General features: G+C 51.1%; 5 annotated features.

Annotated features, from left to right (window-relative positions):
* Positions 833-892: an enhancer, noted in NCBI's record as "active region_16016". NCBI's record gives its function as "activates an Ori minimal core promoter by ATAC-STARR-seq in GM12878 lymphoblastoid cells {active_cell/tissue: GM12878}" and the evidence as "EXISTENCE:reporter gene assay evidence [ECO:0000049][PMID:35858748]".
* Positions 6,717-6,856: a silencer, noted in NCBI's record as "silent region_11621". NCBI's record gives its function as "represses an Ori minimal core promoter by ATAC-STARR-seq in GM12878 lymphoblastoid cells {active_cell/tissue: GM12878}" and the evidence as "EXISTENCE:reporter gene assay evidence [ECO:0000049][PMID:35858748]".
* Positions 6,717-6,940: a biological region, named in NCBI's record as "ReSE screen-validated silencer GRCh37_chr2:71384714-71384875".
* Positions 6,779-6,940: a silencer, noted in NCBI's record as "fragment chr2:71384714-71384875 (GRCh37/hg19 assembly coordinates)". NCBI's record gives its function as "represses an EF-1alpha promoter that drives an FKBP-Casp9 reporter gene in an ReSE screen in K562 erythroleukemia cells {active_cell/tissue: K562}" and the evidence as "EXISTENCE:reporter gene assay evidence [ECO:0000049][PMID:32094911]".
* Positions 10,752-11,413: an enhancer, noted in NCBI's record as "NANOG-H3K27ac hESC enhancer chr2:71388687-71389348 (GRCh37/hg19 assembly coordinates)". NCBI's record gives its function as "activates a minimal SCP1, AML or CMV promoter by ChIP-STARR-seq in naive and primed H9 embryonic stem cells {active_cell/tissue: H9 hESC(naive and primed)}" and the evidence as "EXISTENCE:reporter gene assay evidence [ECO:0000049][PMID:30033119]".

Genomic DNA, 17,157 nt, shown 5'->3' on the forward strand with positions numbered 1-17,157 from the left:
TGGTTTTTTTGTCTACAAGGGGTCAATCAGTGGTCCAGAAGAGCCTGTGGAAGTTTGCACTCTGCATTCCTGTTACTGCAGAAGCTGGCTGCAGCAGGGTAGAGCTAGGCTGGGGGCTACATTAAGCACTGGCTTTTGTCCATCTGTGCTGCTATAACAAAATACCTGGGACTGGGTCATTTATAAACAATAGAAACATTTCCTACGGTTCTGGAGGCTGAGAGGTCTGAGATGAAGGTGCTGGCAAGTTGAGTGGTAAGAGCTGCTCTGCTTCAAGGTGGTGCCTTATGTCCTCACTTGGCAGAAGGTGGAAGGACAAAAAGCCATCAAACTCACTCCTTCAGTCCTTTTATAAGGATGCTGATCCCATCCATGAGGGCTCTGCCTTCAAGACTTAATCATTTAAAGGTCCTACCTTTTAATATCTCATTGGCCATTAAGTTTCTACACAGGAATTTTGAAGGACACATTCAGATCATAGCATAGCATTCCACCCTTGGCTTCTCAAGTGTACGTTCTTAAATGAACACATTAATTCCATCCCAATAGCTCCCAAAATCTTAACTTGTTCCGGCATCAACTTTAAATTCTAAGTCCAAAGTCTGTAAACATGGGTAAGACCAACTCAAGGTATGATTCATCCTGAGCCAAATTTCCCTCCAGCTGTCAAATCAAACAAGTTACGTGCTTCCAAAATACAACGGTGGAATAGGCATAGGATAGATATTCCCATTTAAAGGGGAGAAATAGGAAGAAGTAGCTTAGTCCTAAGTAAGTCCAAAACACACCAGGTAAACAACATTAAGTCTTGAGGCTTGAGGATAGTCTTTGACTTTATGTCTCACCTTCCAGTCACACTGGGGTGAGGGTTGGGTCCCCAAGGCTCCAGGCAGCTCCACCCCCATAGCTTTACTGGGTGCAGCCCATGCCCTGGCTCTCACTGGTTGGAGTCCTGTGCATGCAGCTCTCCCAGCCTGGCATTGCACACTGGTGGCTGTATAGGTCCAGGGTCTCAGGGGCAGCCCTGCCCCAGTGGCTGTGCTGGGCATTGCCTGGGAAGGTGTTCTCTGTGGTGGCCCTGCCCCACAGCATTTCTCTGCCTGCATTTGATGCCCCTCAGTCCTTGACATATATCACTCACTTGGTTTTCTGGCTGCCAAGTCTCTTCCTCCTACTGCGCTAGCTCAGTCTCCTTTGCAGGCTCCTTCTTACTGCCCTGCCTTTTGTTAATGAAATGCTCAGTCTTTTGACCTCTTAGTTCTCTATCTACAGTCAATCCTTGGTCCCATGTATTAATACCATTTAAACCCCAACAACTCCCAAATTTGTATTTCCAGTCTGACCTGACTTGATTACATCAGTTCAAGGGTTTTCATCCTCAAGAACGTCTAAGTGGTATCTCACATTTACATGTCCGAAACTGAACTCTTACTCTTTCTGCTCCATCCTGCCAGTTGCTAGGCTAAAGTCCTCAGAGTTTCCCTTGACTCTTCTCTTGTACATTACCACCTTTACCATGAGCAAATCCTGCTAGCTCAGTCTTCTAAATATATTCAGAATATAACGATTTCTTATCAATGGCAATGCCAACATCCCGACCCAAAATGTCACCATCATCTCCCCTTGGATTACTGCATCAGCCTTCTGTTTTCCTCACTCCCTCTCTTGCTTCCATCCTTGTGTACCCCATGATCTATTCTTAATGCAACAGGGAAAGGGGTCCTTTCAGAGCTTATGCTCAAAATCTTTGTCTCCCCTCCTCCCATCTCAGTCAAAGTCGATGCTCAAATCCATGCAATGACCTGCAGGGTCCTACATCAGGTGCTGGCAAACAGTAGCTGGATGGCAAGTTAGCCAGCTGTTTCTGTAAATAAAGTTTCATTGGAACACAACCACACTCATATGTTACGTATTGTCTGTGGCTGCTTTCACACTACAATAGCAGTGTTGCCTAGTTATGATGGAGGCCACGTGACCCCCAAAGCCTCAAATATTTACTATCTGGCCCTTCACAGAACAAATTTGCTAACACTTGCCCTCCATGATCTGGCTCTTTGCTGCCTCCCTTGCTTTGTTTCTGCTCTAGTCTTCTGGCCTCCTTGGTTTTCTTAGAGCCTGCTAGGCAATCTTCCACCTCAGGGCTTTTTTTTTTTTGGGGGGACAGAGCCTCACTCTGTCGCCAGGCTAGAGTACAGTGGCACGATCTCGGCTCACTACAACCTCCGCCTCCTGGGTTCAAGCGATTCTCCTGCCTCAGCCTCCTGAATAGCTGGGACTACAGGCGCGTGCCACCACACCCAGCTATTTTTTTGCATTTTTAGTAGAGGCAGGGTTTCACCATGTTGGCCAGGATGGTCTCGAGCTCTTGATCTCGTGATCCTCCCGCCTCGGCCTCCAAAAATACTGAGATTACAGGCGTGTGCCACCGCGCCTGACCCATCTGTCTTTTAAAAAATGTTTTTAATTTGAGGTATAATTTATATTCAGTGAAATGCACAGATGTGAAGTGCACATTTTGATCAGTTTTAACAAACGCATTACCCATGTAACCTACTTCCTTTCAAGATATAGAGCATTTCTGTCATCCAGAAAGTTCTCCTGTGCTTTAATCCTGTCCAGCACTCCCCCAGCAGCTGCTGAACATGCCTGAGGACATTGGTACAGGACTCTGGCCTCCCCAAAAGAGCTGCTTGGACAAGTCTGCTTGGCTTACCCTAAATCCCTGCCTGCACTCTAAAAATTTCCATCTTTAAACTGGTTGTACCTATAACCCTCCCTCATCAAATAAATAAACCCTGAAAAATAGGAGAATACCCCTTCCTGGCCCCGCAGCCCAGCACCTAATATTTACTATATACCCAAGCTTTTAGAAGTACGACTTGCACAGGTGGGGGCTGGCAGCTGCATCCCATCCTCCTCCTGGTAGCCTCTATCAGCCTACAGGGCTCTCAGAGCAGATCTGGCCAGGCAGCCTGAGCCTGGAAGTGCAGCGCAGCCTCCTGCTCGTTCACCCTCACTAGGGTGGCAGCTGCGGCAGCAGCTGGGCTCACCCGTTAAGCAAGAAGGTGAGGATGGGAGCGGGATGACCATTGGCTGGACAGTGACACTCAGACCCCAGCCTGGGCAAGCCTGTCTGAAAGCCCCCTTCCTTTCGGTCCAACTGTGGAGGGAGGGGGCAGAGCGTACGGGGTTCTACTGCCCTCCTCATCCTTTAGACGTCCTTCCTCCTAGGAGAGGGAGCTGCTCATTAATTGGCCAAAGCCTTCTTGAAGGCTGTAAATTTGACAGGCTTGGTGTGTGGGGGCCAACCATGCTAAAGAGAGCATCTGGTGTGTCAGAAGGCAGCCACCTCACCAGGGGAGGGTCAGCCCCCTTGGTGATCTCCTTCCCCTGCTGGACACAGCTTCCTGCACTCTCCCCATGTGAATGCTCCCCTCAGAGCTGCTTCCAAGGGTGGGGTTCTAACCCTGTGAGTGGGGACATTGTGTTCATTTACAATGGGCCATGGTTTCATCTGAAATCTCCAACTCAGAGGCAGTAGAGAGGAGAAGAGAAATTCCCTGCACCTCCTCCCTCCTCAGCACCCCCACCTCTGCACGCGTCCACATATGGAGAGCCTGACAATGGCCCCTGGGAGTGCCTCCATCTGCGCCTCCTTTCCATGCCTGCAGCAGCCACGCGCACTGTCCAGACCCTCACCCGCCTGGCTCAGTAGGCGCTGCACTGCCTCTGGTCCTGCCCCTACACCTGGGCCTCTGTACCCGTCAATTCCCCCAGTCTGGTTCTTATTTCCCCCAACAAGTAGGCAGCATGTAAGGTCATCTGTTGAGCAGGGTTGAGGGAGATAATAAGGTGGGGCTGTGAGGATGAGGAGAAGCTTATGGTCGTGCTGGAGACTCAGCTGAGCAGCCCCATTGGCTGCCTACCCAGTGGTCATCCCGCTCCCACCCTTATTTCTTCTTTGTAGACAAAACCTTGACTTCATTAAATGTTGGACACCTATGAACTTCATGGACTCTTCTGCAGCCTCCCTGCCATGTAATGGTAAATCTAAGTCAACCCTAGTAATTTCATTCCTCTGGCCAATGATCGCTTGGGGTGTGGCCATGAGCTGCCTCTTCGCCTGAGCCTGAGCCACAGCTACCCTCTGCACCTACCATGCTGACACGCTAGGCCAGGGAGAGCTCCATCTCAATGGAGATGAGCTGTGAGGGCCTCTGCTGGTGGCTGGGCAGATCAGGTAGTTGTAACGGGTTTTGTTCAGAAGGGAAGGTCGTCCATCAGCTTCTCCTCAGCATTGGCCATGCGGCAGTCCCTTGGGAAAACACACAGACCTGCTGGGCCCTTGTGCAACTGACCCCCATGGCAGCTGACAGGCACAAAGGGGAGAGTCGAGATGGCCAGGGACCACAGGTGCCCCAAGGGCTGGCTGAAGCAGTTCATGAAGGTGCTGGCAGGCCTGTCTCTCCTTGGGGACTTCAAGTGACATTCAAGAGAGAGCTCAGCTATCTCCTCCCATGCCATACCTCTTCCTCCTCCTCTTCCCTCGAGCAATAAATGGCATCCCACACTCTAGACATCTGGTACAAAACGGGGTGTCTCTTCCTGATCCCTCCCTTGGTTCATCCAAGTAACCACCAAGTCCTGTCTGTTCCCCCATCTCCACCGCTACAGCCATGTCCCTACCTCCCCAGTCCTGCCGTCCTTCTGGTCTCTCCACCCTCACTCTTCCCCTGTCATCCATGTACAATACAGTGCCAGACTGGTCTTTCTACAGCAAAATGGACTAAGGCCCTTCCCTACCCACAACTCTCGGAGCTGGAGGTGGAGTTAAAACTCACATGTTTTGGCTTGGCATTCAGAGCTCGTTCCCTCTTGGCACTGGCTTATCCAGAGCGCTCATAGTTTGGGTTTGGTGCAGAACTGGGTATGAGGTAGTGCTTTCCCTGAGAAGAAACAGGGCTGAGATGGGGGCATTTTCTGGGTTCAGAGTTAGACCTATGGAGTGCAAGGTTCCTCTGAGACACCAAATGAAGTGGTCCAGCTGGCAGCTGGCTCCTGGTCTGGAGCTTCAAGGAGAGGTCTCAGCTCAGAGCCACATTCAAAACCCAGCTTAAATGCAGCCTTCTGCAGGGAGCCCCTGGAGCTTCCACAGCCTCAGATCTGCCCCCTGCACACCCCAGATCTTTTGCCAAGTGGCGTTCGGGTCTTCATGTCATCTCTCTCCCATGTCTGGGAGTAAAGGTGAGGTGCGGGAAGTTGAGCTTTTGTACTGTGGTGTCTTCAGGGAGACTGTGTTAGGTAGAGGGGAGGCGGCTTGGAAAGAGGGAGACTCAGAGGAGAGTCAAGGACATCTGAGCAGGTGAGCCTGGGAGCAGGAAAAGGGATGAGAGTGAGCAGAGGAAACTACTGGGGCAGGAGAGCAGGTGGAAGGATCAGGGAATGAGGGGGGCTGGAGAGGTGGGGGTGGGGATCCTGGTGAGGGGCTGCCTGCCTCCCGCAAGGGCCAGTTCACCTGGTTGCCCCAAACCCCTCCCTCTGAGGGTGGGGCCAGAGGGCCCAGAGCATTGATCAACCCAATTGAGCAGGCCTGAGGTGGACTTGGGTGGGAGCTGGGCTGGACTCCTGGCCCTGGGGAGCAGCTGCCACCCTGCCTATTCCATCCACTTTCCAACTCGCTGCCTATTGGAGCAGATGCAATATTGGGTGCCTTGTGAAAGATGCTCCTAGTGCACTTGCTGCCTGCTGACCCTCCCCCCAAGACTGCTCCGAGCTCTCCAGAGGGGGGTCCTGTGGAGGCTTGGCCTAGATTCTGAGCCCTGCCTCTCATACCTGGGACCCCTCCCCCAGAGGCAGCTGCTTGAGTACCCTGGAAGCCAGTCTGTAGCCTCAGGCTAGAGCTGGGTCCCTCCCACAGCCTTTCTTTAGCTCATCTATTTGGACTGACTGCTCATTTCATAGAAAGGGGTGTGTCTTGCCCCAGCCCATCTGGCATATATAAGGCAGCTGTGGTGTCAGAATCCGCAGCTCCCATCCCCCAGCTCTGCAATACTAGAGGAGGCTGGATTCCACATCTCTGAAGTCCCACCGGACTGGTGCGATGGGGCTCACGAGTCCAGGGCTGCTCTGCAGGCTGTGGGGCTCACCTCCAGCTCGGAGCCCACCTGGTGTGCTCAAGTTGCTCACCTTTGGGCCTGTCCTGCCTCTCAGGCATTCAGCTGACCCCGAGGGACTCTCCCTCATCTTGACCACCAGTTACGGGCTCTAAGTTAGAGGTTCCCAGAACCTTAGACCATTTGGCCAAACCCTCCATTTCTCAGCTGGGGAAACTGAAACCAAAGAGGAGAAGCAACTTTCTCAAGGACCCCCAGCAAGTCAGAGGCAGAACTGGGTCTAGCAGCCTCCTCCCGACAGAGGGCCTCCCTGACCCCTGAGCCTTTACTGCCTCGTTAACTTCCCTATAAGGAGACTGCTCTGCCGAGGCTGGAAATGGAAATGCTCTCCGTGGCGGTGTGTGCCCGTGACTGCGCCCGTGTTTGTACTTGTGAGTGTGTATGGGGGTGGGGGTGAGGGATGGGAATAAACAGCAGGGATGCTGGGGGCTGGAATGCACTCTGCCTCACTCCAAAAAGGGGCGTGGGGGAGCCCAGCGCAGCACATGATTAGACTTTCCAATCTGCTGAATGCCTGTGAGGCCAGCTGGGCTCAGAAGACAAGGGACAGGCCTTTCTCCACAGATGGCAGGGGTGGCCCAGGACGGGTGAAAGCTTCTGCAGCAGCATTGGGGGTCACACCCCAGTCCATGGGCTGACAGTTAAGCAGAGAAGCCGCCACTAGGGGTCAGTCATGATCCAGCGATTCTGATGAGCGGGGCGGGGTACCACCAGCCTCTATCCAGGGTCTTGTCTTCCAGACCTCCTTGGGAAAAACTACTCCCTGGCAGAAAAGGGCTAATAATTTGAGAGGAAGCTTTCATGCACGTCCTTGTGAAGAGACCACCAAACAGGCTTTGTGTGAGCAACATGGCTGTTTATTTCACCTGGGTGCAGGTGGGCTGAGTCCGAAAAGAGAGTCAGTGAAGGGAGATGGATTATCATTAGTTCTTATAGGTTTTGGGATAGGCAGTGAAGTTAAGAGCAATGTTTTGCGGGCAGGGGTGGATCTCACAAAGTACATTCTCAAGGGTGAGGAGAATTACAGAGAACCTTCTTAAGGGTGGGGGAGATTACAAAGTACATTGATCAGTTAGGGTGGGGCAGGAACAAATCACAATGGTGGAATGTCATCAGTTAAGGCTATTTTTACTTCTTTTGTGGATCTTCAGTTACTTCAGGCCATCTGGTTGTATATGTGCAAGTCACAGGGGATGCGATGGCTTGGCTTGGGCTCAGAGGCCTGACATTCCTGCCTTCTTATATTAATAAGAAAAATAAAACAAAATAGTGTTGAAGTGTTAGGGCGGTGAAAATTTTTGGGGGGTGGTATGGAGAGAGAATGGGTGATGTTTCTCAGGGCTGCTTCAAGCGGGATTAGGGGTGGCGTGGGAGCCTAGAGTGGGAGAGATTAAGCTGAAGGGAGATCTTGTGGTAAGGGGTGATATTGTGGGGATGTTAGAAGAAACATTTGTCATATAGAATTATTGGTGATGGCCTGGATACGGTTTTGGATGAATTCAGAAACTAAATGGAATAAGAGAAGGAGAAAAACAGGTATAAAAGGTCTAAGAATTGGGAGGACCTAGGACATCTGATTAGAGAGTGCCTAAGGAGATTCAGCATAGTCCTGCCAGCAAAGATTATTTATTTACTTCCAGAGTTTAGAGTGGCAGTTTGGGGATAGCACCAGGAGATATCAGCTGTGATGGCTTGGAGAAACAGTGTAAACCAGCAGTGTAAACAAGAGCAGGGCATGTATGAGTAGTTGAGAACGGTGAATAGGAGTATGACTAGAGAGAAGATAGTAGGGATGACAAGTTTTTTGGGGTCACAGTCTAAGTTGGTCTGGTGTCGAATGAGACTGGGGCCTAATAAAAAGGAGCGTCTATACAGGAGCTCAAATGGGCTGCACCTTGTAGCATTCTGAGGACAGGTCTGACTTCTGAGAAGGGAAAGTGGTAAAAGTATTATCCAGTCCTTTTTAAGTTGGTGGCTGAGCTTGGTGAGGTGTGTTTTTAAAAGACCTTTAGTCTGTTCTACTTTTCTTGAAGACTGAGGACCGTAAGGGATATAAAGGTTTCACTGAGTACTAAGAGCCTGAAAAACTGCTTGGCTGATTTGACTAATAAAGGCTGGTCTTTTATCAGACTGTATAGAGGTGGGAAGGCTAAACTGAGGAATTATGTCTGACAGAAGAGAAGAAATGACTGCGGTGGCCTTCTCAGACCCTGTAGGACAGGTCTTTACTTATTCAGTGAAAGTGTCTAGTTAGACTAAGAGGTATTTTAGTTTCCTGATTCAGGGCATGTTGAGTAAAGCTAATTTGCCAGTCCTGGGTGGGGGCAAATCTTCAAGCTTGATGTGTAGGGAAGGGAGGGGGCCTGAATAATCCCTGAGGAGTAGTAGAATAGCAGATGGAACACTGAGAAGTTATTTCCTTGAGGATAGATTTCCACGATGGAAAGGAAATGAGAGGTTCTAAGAGGCGGGCTAGTGGCTTGTACTATAGCATAGCCTGCCTTTGCTGGTGTGTGGCGATTAGGCCTGGTGGAACTGCCATCAATAAATCAAGCGTGATCAGGGTGAGGAACAGAAAAGAAGGAAATATGGGGAAATCGGGTGAATATCAGGTGGATCAGAGAGATACAGTCATGGGGGTCAGGTGTGGTATCAGGAATAATGTGGGAGGCCAGATTGAAGTCCGGGCCAGGAACAATGGTAATTGTGGGACTTAACAAAGAGTGAGTACAGCTGAAGGAGCCAGGGAGCAGAAAGTATATGCATCAGGTATGAGGAAGAAAGTAGATTTCAGAAGTTATGAGAAATGCAGAGAGTGAGTTGAGCACAGTTCGTGATTTTTAGGGCCTCTAAAAGTATTAAAGCAGTGGCAGCCGCTGCACGGAGACATGATGGCTAGGCTAAAACAGTAAGGTCAAGTTGTTTGGACAGAAAGGCTACAGGGTGTGGTCCTGGCTCTTGTGTAAGAATTCTGACCACACTAACCATGCCTAGGAAGAAAAGGAGTTGTTGTTTTGTAAGGGATTGAGGTTTGGGAGATTAATCGGACATGATCAGAAGGGAGAGCACATGTGTTTTTATGAAGAATTATGCCGAGGTAGGTAATGGATGGGGAAAAAATTTGAGCTTTGGAGGGGAATACCCGCTATCCTTTGGAGAATAAATGCTGAAGGAGCAGAAGTGTGTCTTGTTGAGAAGATTCAAAGGAGGGGCTACAAAGAAGAAGGTCATCAATATACTGAATAAGGTGAGAAGCGGAGGGGTGGAAAGAAACTAAATCATGAGACAGAGCTTGGCTGAAGTAATGAGGGCTGTCCCTGAAACCTTGCGGCAGTACAGCCCAGGTAAGCTGCTGGGACTGATGGGTGTCAGGGTTAGTCCAAGTGAAAGCAAAGAGAGGCTGGGATGAAGGGTGCAAAGGAATAGTAAAGAAAGCATGCCCTCTCCCTCTCCCTCTCCCTCTCCCTCTCCCTCTCCCTCTCCCCCTCCCCCTCCCCTCTTTCCACGGTCTCCCTCTGATGCAGAGCCGAAGCTGGACTGTACTGCTGCCATCTCGGCTCACTGCAACCTCCCTGCCTGATTCTCCTGCCTCAGCCTGCTGAGTGCCTGCAATTGCAGGCGCGCGCCGCCACGCCTGACTGGTTTTCGTATTTTTTGGGTGGAGACGGGGTTTCGTTGTGTTGGCCGGGCTGGTCTCCAGCTCCTGACCGCGAGTGATCCGCCAGCCTCGGCCTCCCGAGGTGCCGGGATTGCAGACGGAGTCTCCTTCACTCAGTGCTCAATGGTGCCCAGGCTGGAGTGCAGTGGCATGATCTCGGCTCGCTACAACATCCACCTCCCAGCAGCCTGCCTTGGCCTCCCAAAGTGCCGAGATTGCAGCCTCTGCCCGGCCGCCACCCCGTCTGGGAAGTGAGGAGCATCTCTGCCTGGCCGCCCATCGTCTGGGATGTGAGGAGCCCCTCTGCCTGGCTGCCCAGTCTGGAAAGTGAGGAGCGTCTCTGCCAGGCCGCCATCCCATCTAGGAAGTGAGGAGCGTCTCTGCCCGGCCACCCATCATCTGAGATGTGGGGAGCGCCTCTGCCCTGTCGCCCCGTCCGGGATGTGAGGAGCGTCTCTGCCCGGCCGCCCCGTCTGAGAAGTGAGGAGACCCTCTGCCTGGCAACCGCCCTGTCTGAGAAGTGAGGAGCCCCTCCGCCCAGCAGCCGCCCCGTCTGAGAAGTGAGGAGCCCCTCCGCCCGGCAGCCACCCCGTCTGGGAAGTGAGGAGCGTCTCCGCCCGGCAGCCACCCCGTCCAGGAGGGAGGTGGGGGGGTCAGCCCCCCGCCCGGCCAGCCGCCCCGTCCGGGAGGGAGGTGGGGGGATCAGCCCCCCGCCCGGCCAGCCGCCCCCTCCGGGAGGTGAGGGGCGCCTCTGCCCGGCCACCCCTACTGGGAAGTGAGCCCCTCTGCCTGGCCAGCCGCCCCGTCCGGGAGGGAGATGGGGGGGTCAGCCCCCCGCCCGGCCAGTCGCCCCGTCCGGGAGGTGAGGGGTGCCTCTGCCCGGCCGCCCCTACTGGGAAGTGAGGAGCCCCTCTGCCCGGCCACCACCCCGTCTGGGAGGTGTACCCAACAGCTCATTGAGAACGGGCCGGGATGACAATGGCGGTTTTGTGGAATAGAAAGGGGGGAAAGGTGGGGAAAAGATTGAGAAATCGGATGGTTGCTGTGTCTGTGTAGAAAGAGGTAGACATGGGAGACTTTTCATTTTGTTCTGTACTAAGAAAAATTCTTCTGCCTTGGGATCCTGTTGATCGGTGACCTTACCCCCAACCCTGTGCTCTCTGAAACATGTGCTATGTCCACTCAGGGTTAAATGGATTAAGGGCGGTGCAAGATGTGCTTTGTTAAACAGACGCTTGAAGGCAGCATGCTCGTTAAGAGTCATCACCACTCCCTAATCTCAAGTACCCAGGGACACAAACACTGCGGAAGGCCGCAGGGTCCTCTGCCTAGGAAAACCAGAGACCTTTGTTCACTTGTTTATCTGCTGACCTTCCCTCCACTATTGTCCTGTGGCCCTGCCAAATCCCCCTCTGCGAGAAACACCCAAGAATGATCAATAAAAAAAAAAAAATAAATAAATAAATAAATCATATCAAAGTAAAAAGTTTCCAAAAAAAATAAAAAGTTTCAAAAAAAAAGAAAGCATGTTTGAGATCTAGAACAGAATAATGGGTAGTAGAGGGAGGTATTGAGGATAGGAGAGTATATGGGTTTGGCACCACGGGGTGGATAGGCAAAACAATTTGGTTGATAAGGCGCAGATCCTGAACTAATCTGTAAGACTTGTTCTGTTTTTGGACAGGTAAAATTGGGGAATTGTAAGGAGAGTTTATAGGTTTTAGAAGCCTATGCTGTAGCAGGCGAGTGATAACAGGCTTTAATCCTTTTAAAGTGTGCTGTGGGATGGGATATTGGCATTGAGTGGGGTAAGGGTGATTAGGTTTTAAAGAGATGGTAAGGGGTGCATGATCGGTCACCAAGGAGGGAGTAGGGGTATCTTATAGTTGTGGGTTAAGGTCGGGGAATACAAGAGGAGGACGCAAAGAAGGCTTTGGATTGGGAAGAAAGGTGGCAATGAGATGTAGCTGTAATCCCGGAATAGTCAGGGAAGCAGATAATTTAGTTAAAGTGTCTCGGCCTAATAAGGGAACTGGGCAGGTGGGGATAACTAAAAGGAGTGCTTAAAAGAGTATTGTCTCAGCTGGCACCAGAGTTGGGGAGTTTTAAGAGGTTTAGAAGCCTGGCCGTCAATACCCACAACAGTTATGGAAGCAAGGGAAACAGGCCCTTGAAAAGAAGGTAATGTGGAGTGGGTAGCTTCCATATTGATTAAGAAGGGGATGGACTTACCTTCCACTGTGAGTTACTGGAAGCTCGGCACCTGTGATGGTCTAGGGGGCTTCCGAGGTGATTGGGCAGCGTCAGTCTTCAGCCGCTAAGCCGAGAAGATCTGGGAAGGAGTCAGAGAGCCTTGGGCCAGAGTTCCAGGGGCTGTGGGAGTGGCTGCCAGGTGAGTTGAACAGTCCAATTTTCAGTGGGGTCCTGCACAGATGGGACGCGGCTTAGGAGGAATCCCAGGCTGCGGGCATTCCTTGGCCCAGTGGCCAGATTTCCGGCATGTGTAGCAAGCTCCTGGGGGAGGAGGTTCTGGAGGAACGCCTGGCTGCTGCAGTTCAGGCATTTGGAAGTTCTTGTGTGCTGGAGATGTGGCTGGGGTTTGTCTCACAGTGGAGGCAAGGAATTGCAACTTTTTTCTATTATTGTACACCTTGAAGGCGAGGTTAATTAAATCCTGTTGTGGGGTTTGAGGGCCGGAATTTAATTTTTGGAGTTTATTTAATGTCGGGAGCAGATTGGGTAATAAAATGTATATTGAGAATAAGACGGCCTTTTGACCTTTTAGGGTCTAGGGCTGTAAAGCGTCTCAGGGTTGCTGCTGAATGAGCCATGAACTGGGCTGGGTTTTTTATGTTTGATGAAAAAGAGCCTAAACACTATCTGATTTGGGATAAAGAAAAAGGAGCATTAACCTTGACTATGGCTTTAGCTCCAGCCACCTTTTTAAGAGTAAATTGCTGGGCAGGTGGGGGAGGGCTAGTCACGGAACGAAACTGTAAACCAGACTGGGTGTGAGGAGGGGAGGTGATAAAAGGATTATAGGGTGGAGGAGCGGAGGCTGAGGAAGAATTGGGACCTAGCTCGGCCTGGCGAGGAGGGGAGAGGTCAGAAGAGTCTGTAGAAAAGGAAGATTAGAAAGACTCAGCGACGCTTGGGGTTGGGACTGAGGGGACAGGCAGGAGGGAAAGAAGGAAGATTTGGGATGAGTTGCATTGGAACAGAGACTAGAGAGGGACTGATGTGTAAAAGAATGCCTGGACTTCAGGCACCTCAGACCGTTTGCCTATTTTACGAGAAGAATTATTTAGATCTTGCAGGATGGAAAAATTCAAAGTGCAGTTTTCTGGCTATTTGGGACTACTGTCGAGTTTGTATTGGGGTCAAGCGGCATTGCAGAAGAAAATAAGGCATTTAGGTTTTAGGTCAGGTGAAAGTTGAAGAGGTTTTAAGTTCTTAAGAACACAGGCTAAGGGAGAAGAAAGAGGAATGGAAGGTGGAAGCTTACCCATCGTGAAGGAGGCAAGCCCAGAGAAAAGAGTAGAGACACGGAGAAGGGGTGGGGGTTTCTTGCCCTCCAGAAAAGCAGAGAAGGGGTTGGGGTGCAGAGATACGAGGTCAGGGTGCAGAAATAAGGGATCGGGGTGCAGAGATACGAGGTTGGGGTACTTGCCTCTCCCCCAGAAAAGCAGAGAAGGGATAGAGACACAGAGAGAAGGGGTTGGAGTACTTGCCCCTCCCCCAGAAAAGTGGGACTTGCCGCTGAGGGTGAAGGAGAAGGAGTTGAGGGGTTCTTGCCCCTGCCCCAGAAAATCAGAGAAGGGGTAGAGACAAGGAGAGAAGGGGTTGGGGTACTTGCCTCTTCCCCAGAAAAGCGGGACTTGCCACTAAGGGTGAAGGAGAAGGGGTTGAGGGGTTCTTTCCCCTGCCCCAGAAAATCAGAGAAGGGGTATAGACATGGAGAGAAGGGGTTGGGGTACTTGCCCCTTCCCCAGAAAAGCAGAGAAGGGGTAGAGACAAGGAGAGAAGGGGTTGGGGTACTTGCCCCTTCCCCAGAAAAGCAGGACTTGCCACTAAGGGTGAAGGAGAAGGGATTGAGGGGTACTTGCCCCTCCCCCAGAAAAGCAGAGAAGGGGTAGAGACACGGAGAGAAGGAAATATGGGGAAATGGGGTGAATATCAGGTGGATCAGAGAGATACAGTCATGGGGGTCAGGTGTGGTATCAGGAATAATGTGGGAGGCCAGATTGAAGTCCGGGCCAGGAACAATAGTAATTGTGGGACTTAACAAAGAGTGAGTACAGCTGAAGGAGCCGGGGAGCAGAAAGTATATGCGTCAGGTATGAGGAAGAAAATAGATTTTGGAAGTTATGAGAAATGTAGAGAGTGAGTTGAGCATAGTTTGTGATTTTTAGGGCCTCTAAAAGTATTAAAGCAGTGGCAGCCACTGCATGCAGACATGAGGGTTAGGCTAAAACAGTAAGGTCAAGTTGTTTGGACAGAAAGGCTACAGGGTGCGGTCCTGGTCCGAGTCACGGCACCAAATTTCATGTGCGTCCTTGTGAAGAGACCACCAAACAGGCTTTGTGTGAGCAACATAGCTGTTTATTTCACCTGGGTGCAGGTGGGCTGAGTCCGAAAAGAGAGTCAGTGAAGGGAGATGGATTATCATTAGTTCTTATAGGTTTTGGGTTAGGCGGTGAAGTTAAGAGCAATGTTTTGCGGGCAGGGGTGGATCTCACAAAGTACATTCTCAAGGGTGAGGAGAATTACAGAGAACCTTCTTAAGGGTGGGGGAGATTACAAAGTACATTGATCAGTTAGGGTGGGGCAGGAACAAATCACAATGGTGGAATGTCATCAGTTAAGGCTATTTTTACTTCTTTTGTGGATCTTCAGTTACTTCAGGCCATCTGGGTGTATATGTGCAAGTCACAGGGGATGCGATGGCTTGGCTTGGGCTCAGAGGCCTGACAGAAGCCATAGCTGGAATTCTAAACGGTGTGAGTGTGTGTCCCATTTGAAAAAGCACATCCAACCTAAACATTTATATGAAAAAATGGAAAGATATACCCATTGTTTTGGAATACAAACTACAGAAAGTAACAGTTAACAGAATCTTAGTGGAAAGATAAGATTCCACATCTGGAAAGGCAGAGTGATTTTCAACTGGGTTGTGTGTCCTTAACTGAGGAAGGGAAGATGAAATTTATGTTTATTAAAAGGCAGCTATGAATTTACCTTTTATAAAGAGCTTACAATATACTATTAGTGCTTCTTCAATCATGTGTCTGAATCACCCGGATGCCTGTGTAAATGCAAATTCCCAGAGATTCTGATCCTGTGAGCCTAGGATGGGGCCCAGAAATCTCTATGGGGTGGTGCAGGCTGCCCCAGGACCACACCTAAGAAACACTGCAACTAGCCCACACACACATCCAAGTCCCCAGATATGTAGGCAGGCATATTATCTCCGTAAAACAGATGGGGAAACTGAGGTCCAGAATGGGGAAATCACCCAGCAAGTAGTAGCAGAGACATGATACACCCACTGCCTGCAGACACCATCCCTGATGACAGCTTCACCTCCCTACAGGAACCTTGCCTACCCCCACCCCTATGTCCTGCCACCCCTATGGTGGGTCTCTGTCCAAGGAAGATGTAGCCCTGGTCCTCCAGGCTGACTGGGGCTCAGAGGAAAAGCCTGGCCCAGACTGTAGGAGCTAGAAGGGCCCTTGCAATTCAGGTGGGGAAACTGAGGCCCAAAGAAGGCAGTCTTCACATTTGAACTCTGCCTGGAGAAGGGCTGGGTCTCCTTCCTGAGTGGTAGGTTTGACTTCATCAGCCTGGCCCTCAGTCAAGGTGACTGTCCAGGCCCACCACACCTCGAGGTGGGTGACCAGAGGCATCAGTGCCATAAAATGCATTTCTTGGGAGATCCACCCTGAAAGCGCAAAACATTCCAGGGCTGGTGATTTGGGCAAGCCCCCTTCCCTCTAGGCCCAGTTTCCCCATTTCTGCAATAGCTGTGTTGGAGGAGACTTCTCTCTGAGACTGAGCCGCAGATTTGTTCCCAGGTGCCTACGCCGCACAGGTTGCCGGCTCCTCTGTCCCCACTCTTCAAGAAAGTCACCTCTTAGGTGAGGAAGGAGTCTCGGCCCTGTTGGGAGTGGGAGTTGGTTCACCCCCAGTCTCCCAGACCACTGGGGATGACCTGGGCTGCCTGCAAAGATGGTGTCATCCATGGCTGCTCCCCAGCCTGCAGACACCCACCATGGAGGGTGACACTGGCTCTCCCAGTGGCTCTGAGAAGAGGCAGCCCCCACTCCAAACCTTGCAGAGCCACCCACGCCTTCCCTCACCCGAAAGAGGCTTTTAGGAAAATGAATCATCTCAAGTTCATACCCATGGGGGTTGCTGAAAGACAGGACAGTGCGGGGTGAGCTGGCACAAAGGAGTGCTGCTCTCTGCAGACTTTGCAGGGAGGTCACTTAGGAAAAGGGAGTGGAATCTGGGAGAGTGAATAGCTTAGGGTTAAAGGGAGGGGATGGGGCTGGAGTGGGCTGGCCTGTGCTCCCCCTTGGGCCTTCCAGCCTGGTCTCAGGTGATTCAAGGGAGCAAGCACATCCCTCTCCCAGCCAGAGAGTTCTTGCCACGTTTTGGAATCAGTGCCATTCCCTTGGGCGTTGGGGGGCAGCCCCCACCTCTGGACCTAGCTGGAACTGCTGCCTTAATTCTGGATCCAAAAGGGCCTCTGGCAGCTTCTCCATCTCCCTCTCAGTCCAGCCCCCTATCTCCTTCCCCATGTGGACCCCAACAGGCAAATCTGACAACTGGAGGAAGAAGGCAGGAAGGGTAGGGTCTGAGGGGATGACAATTTTAAAAAGGCAGCTCTGCCACCTTCTTTCCAGGACTCTCAGTCTTGCTTTCATATTGCCCCTTGGACATCATTTTGCTATAATCTAACATGTTGACTTATGGTCTTTAAAAACAATAACATTGTTGATGTGGAGCAGACTTCCCCTTTGGGATGGTTTGGAGAAGTTAGGTTTGAGGGCATCCTCTCTTCTGCAAACTGCAGCAGTAATAGGTGAGATATATAAAGTAAATAAAGGTCAGGTGCAGTGGCTCATGCCTGTAATCCCAGCACTTTGTGAGGCCAAGGCAGGAGGATCACTTGAAGTCAGGAGTTCAAGACCAGCCTGGCCAACATAGTGAAACTCCATCTCTACTAAAAAAAAAATACAAAAATTACCTGGGCATGGTGGTGGGTGCCTGTAATCCAAGCTATTCAGGAGGCTGAGGCAGGAAAATCTCTTGAACCTGGGA

Source organism: Homo sapiens, chromosome 2 (assembly GCF_000001405.40).
Source record: "Homo sapiens chromosome 2, GRCh38.p14 Primary Assembly".
In the NCBI taxonomy this organism is placed as follows: domain Eukaryota; kingdom Metazoa; phylum Chordata; class Mammalia; order Primates; family Hominidae; genus Homo; species Homo sapiens.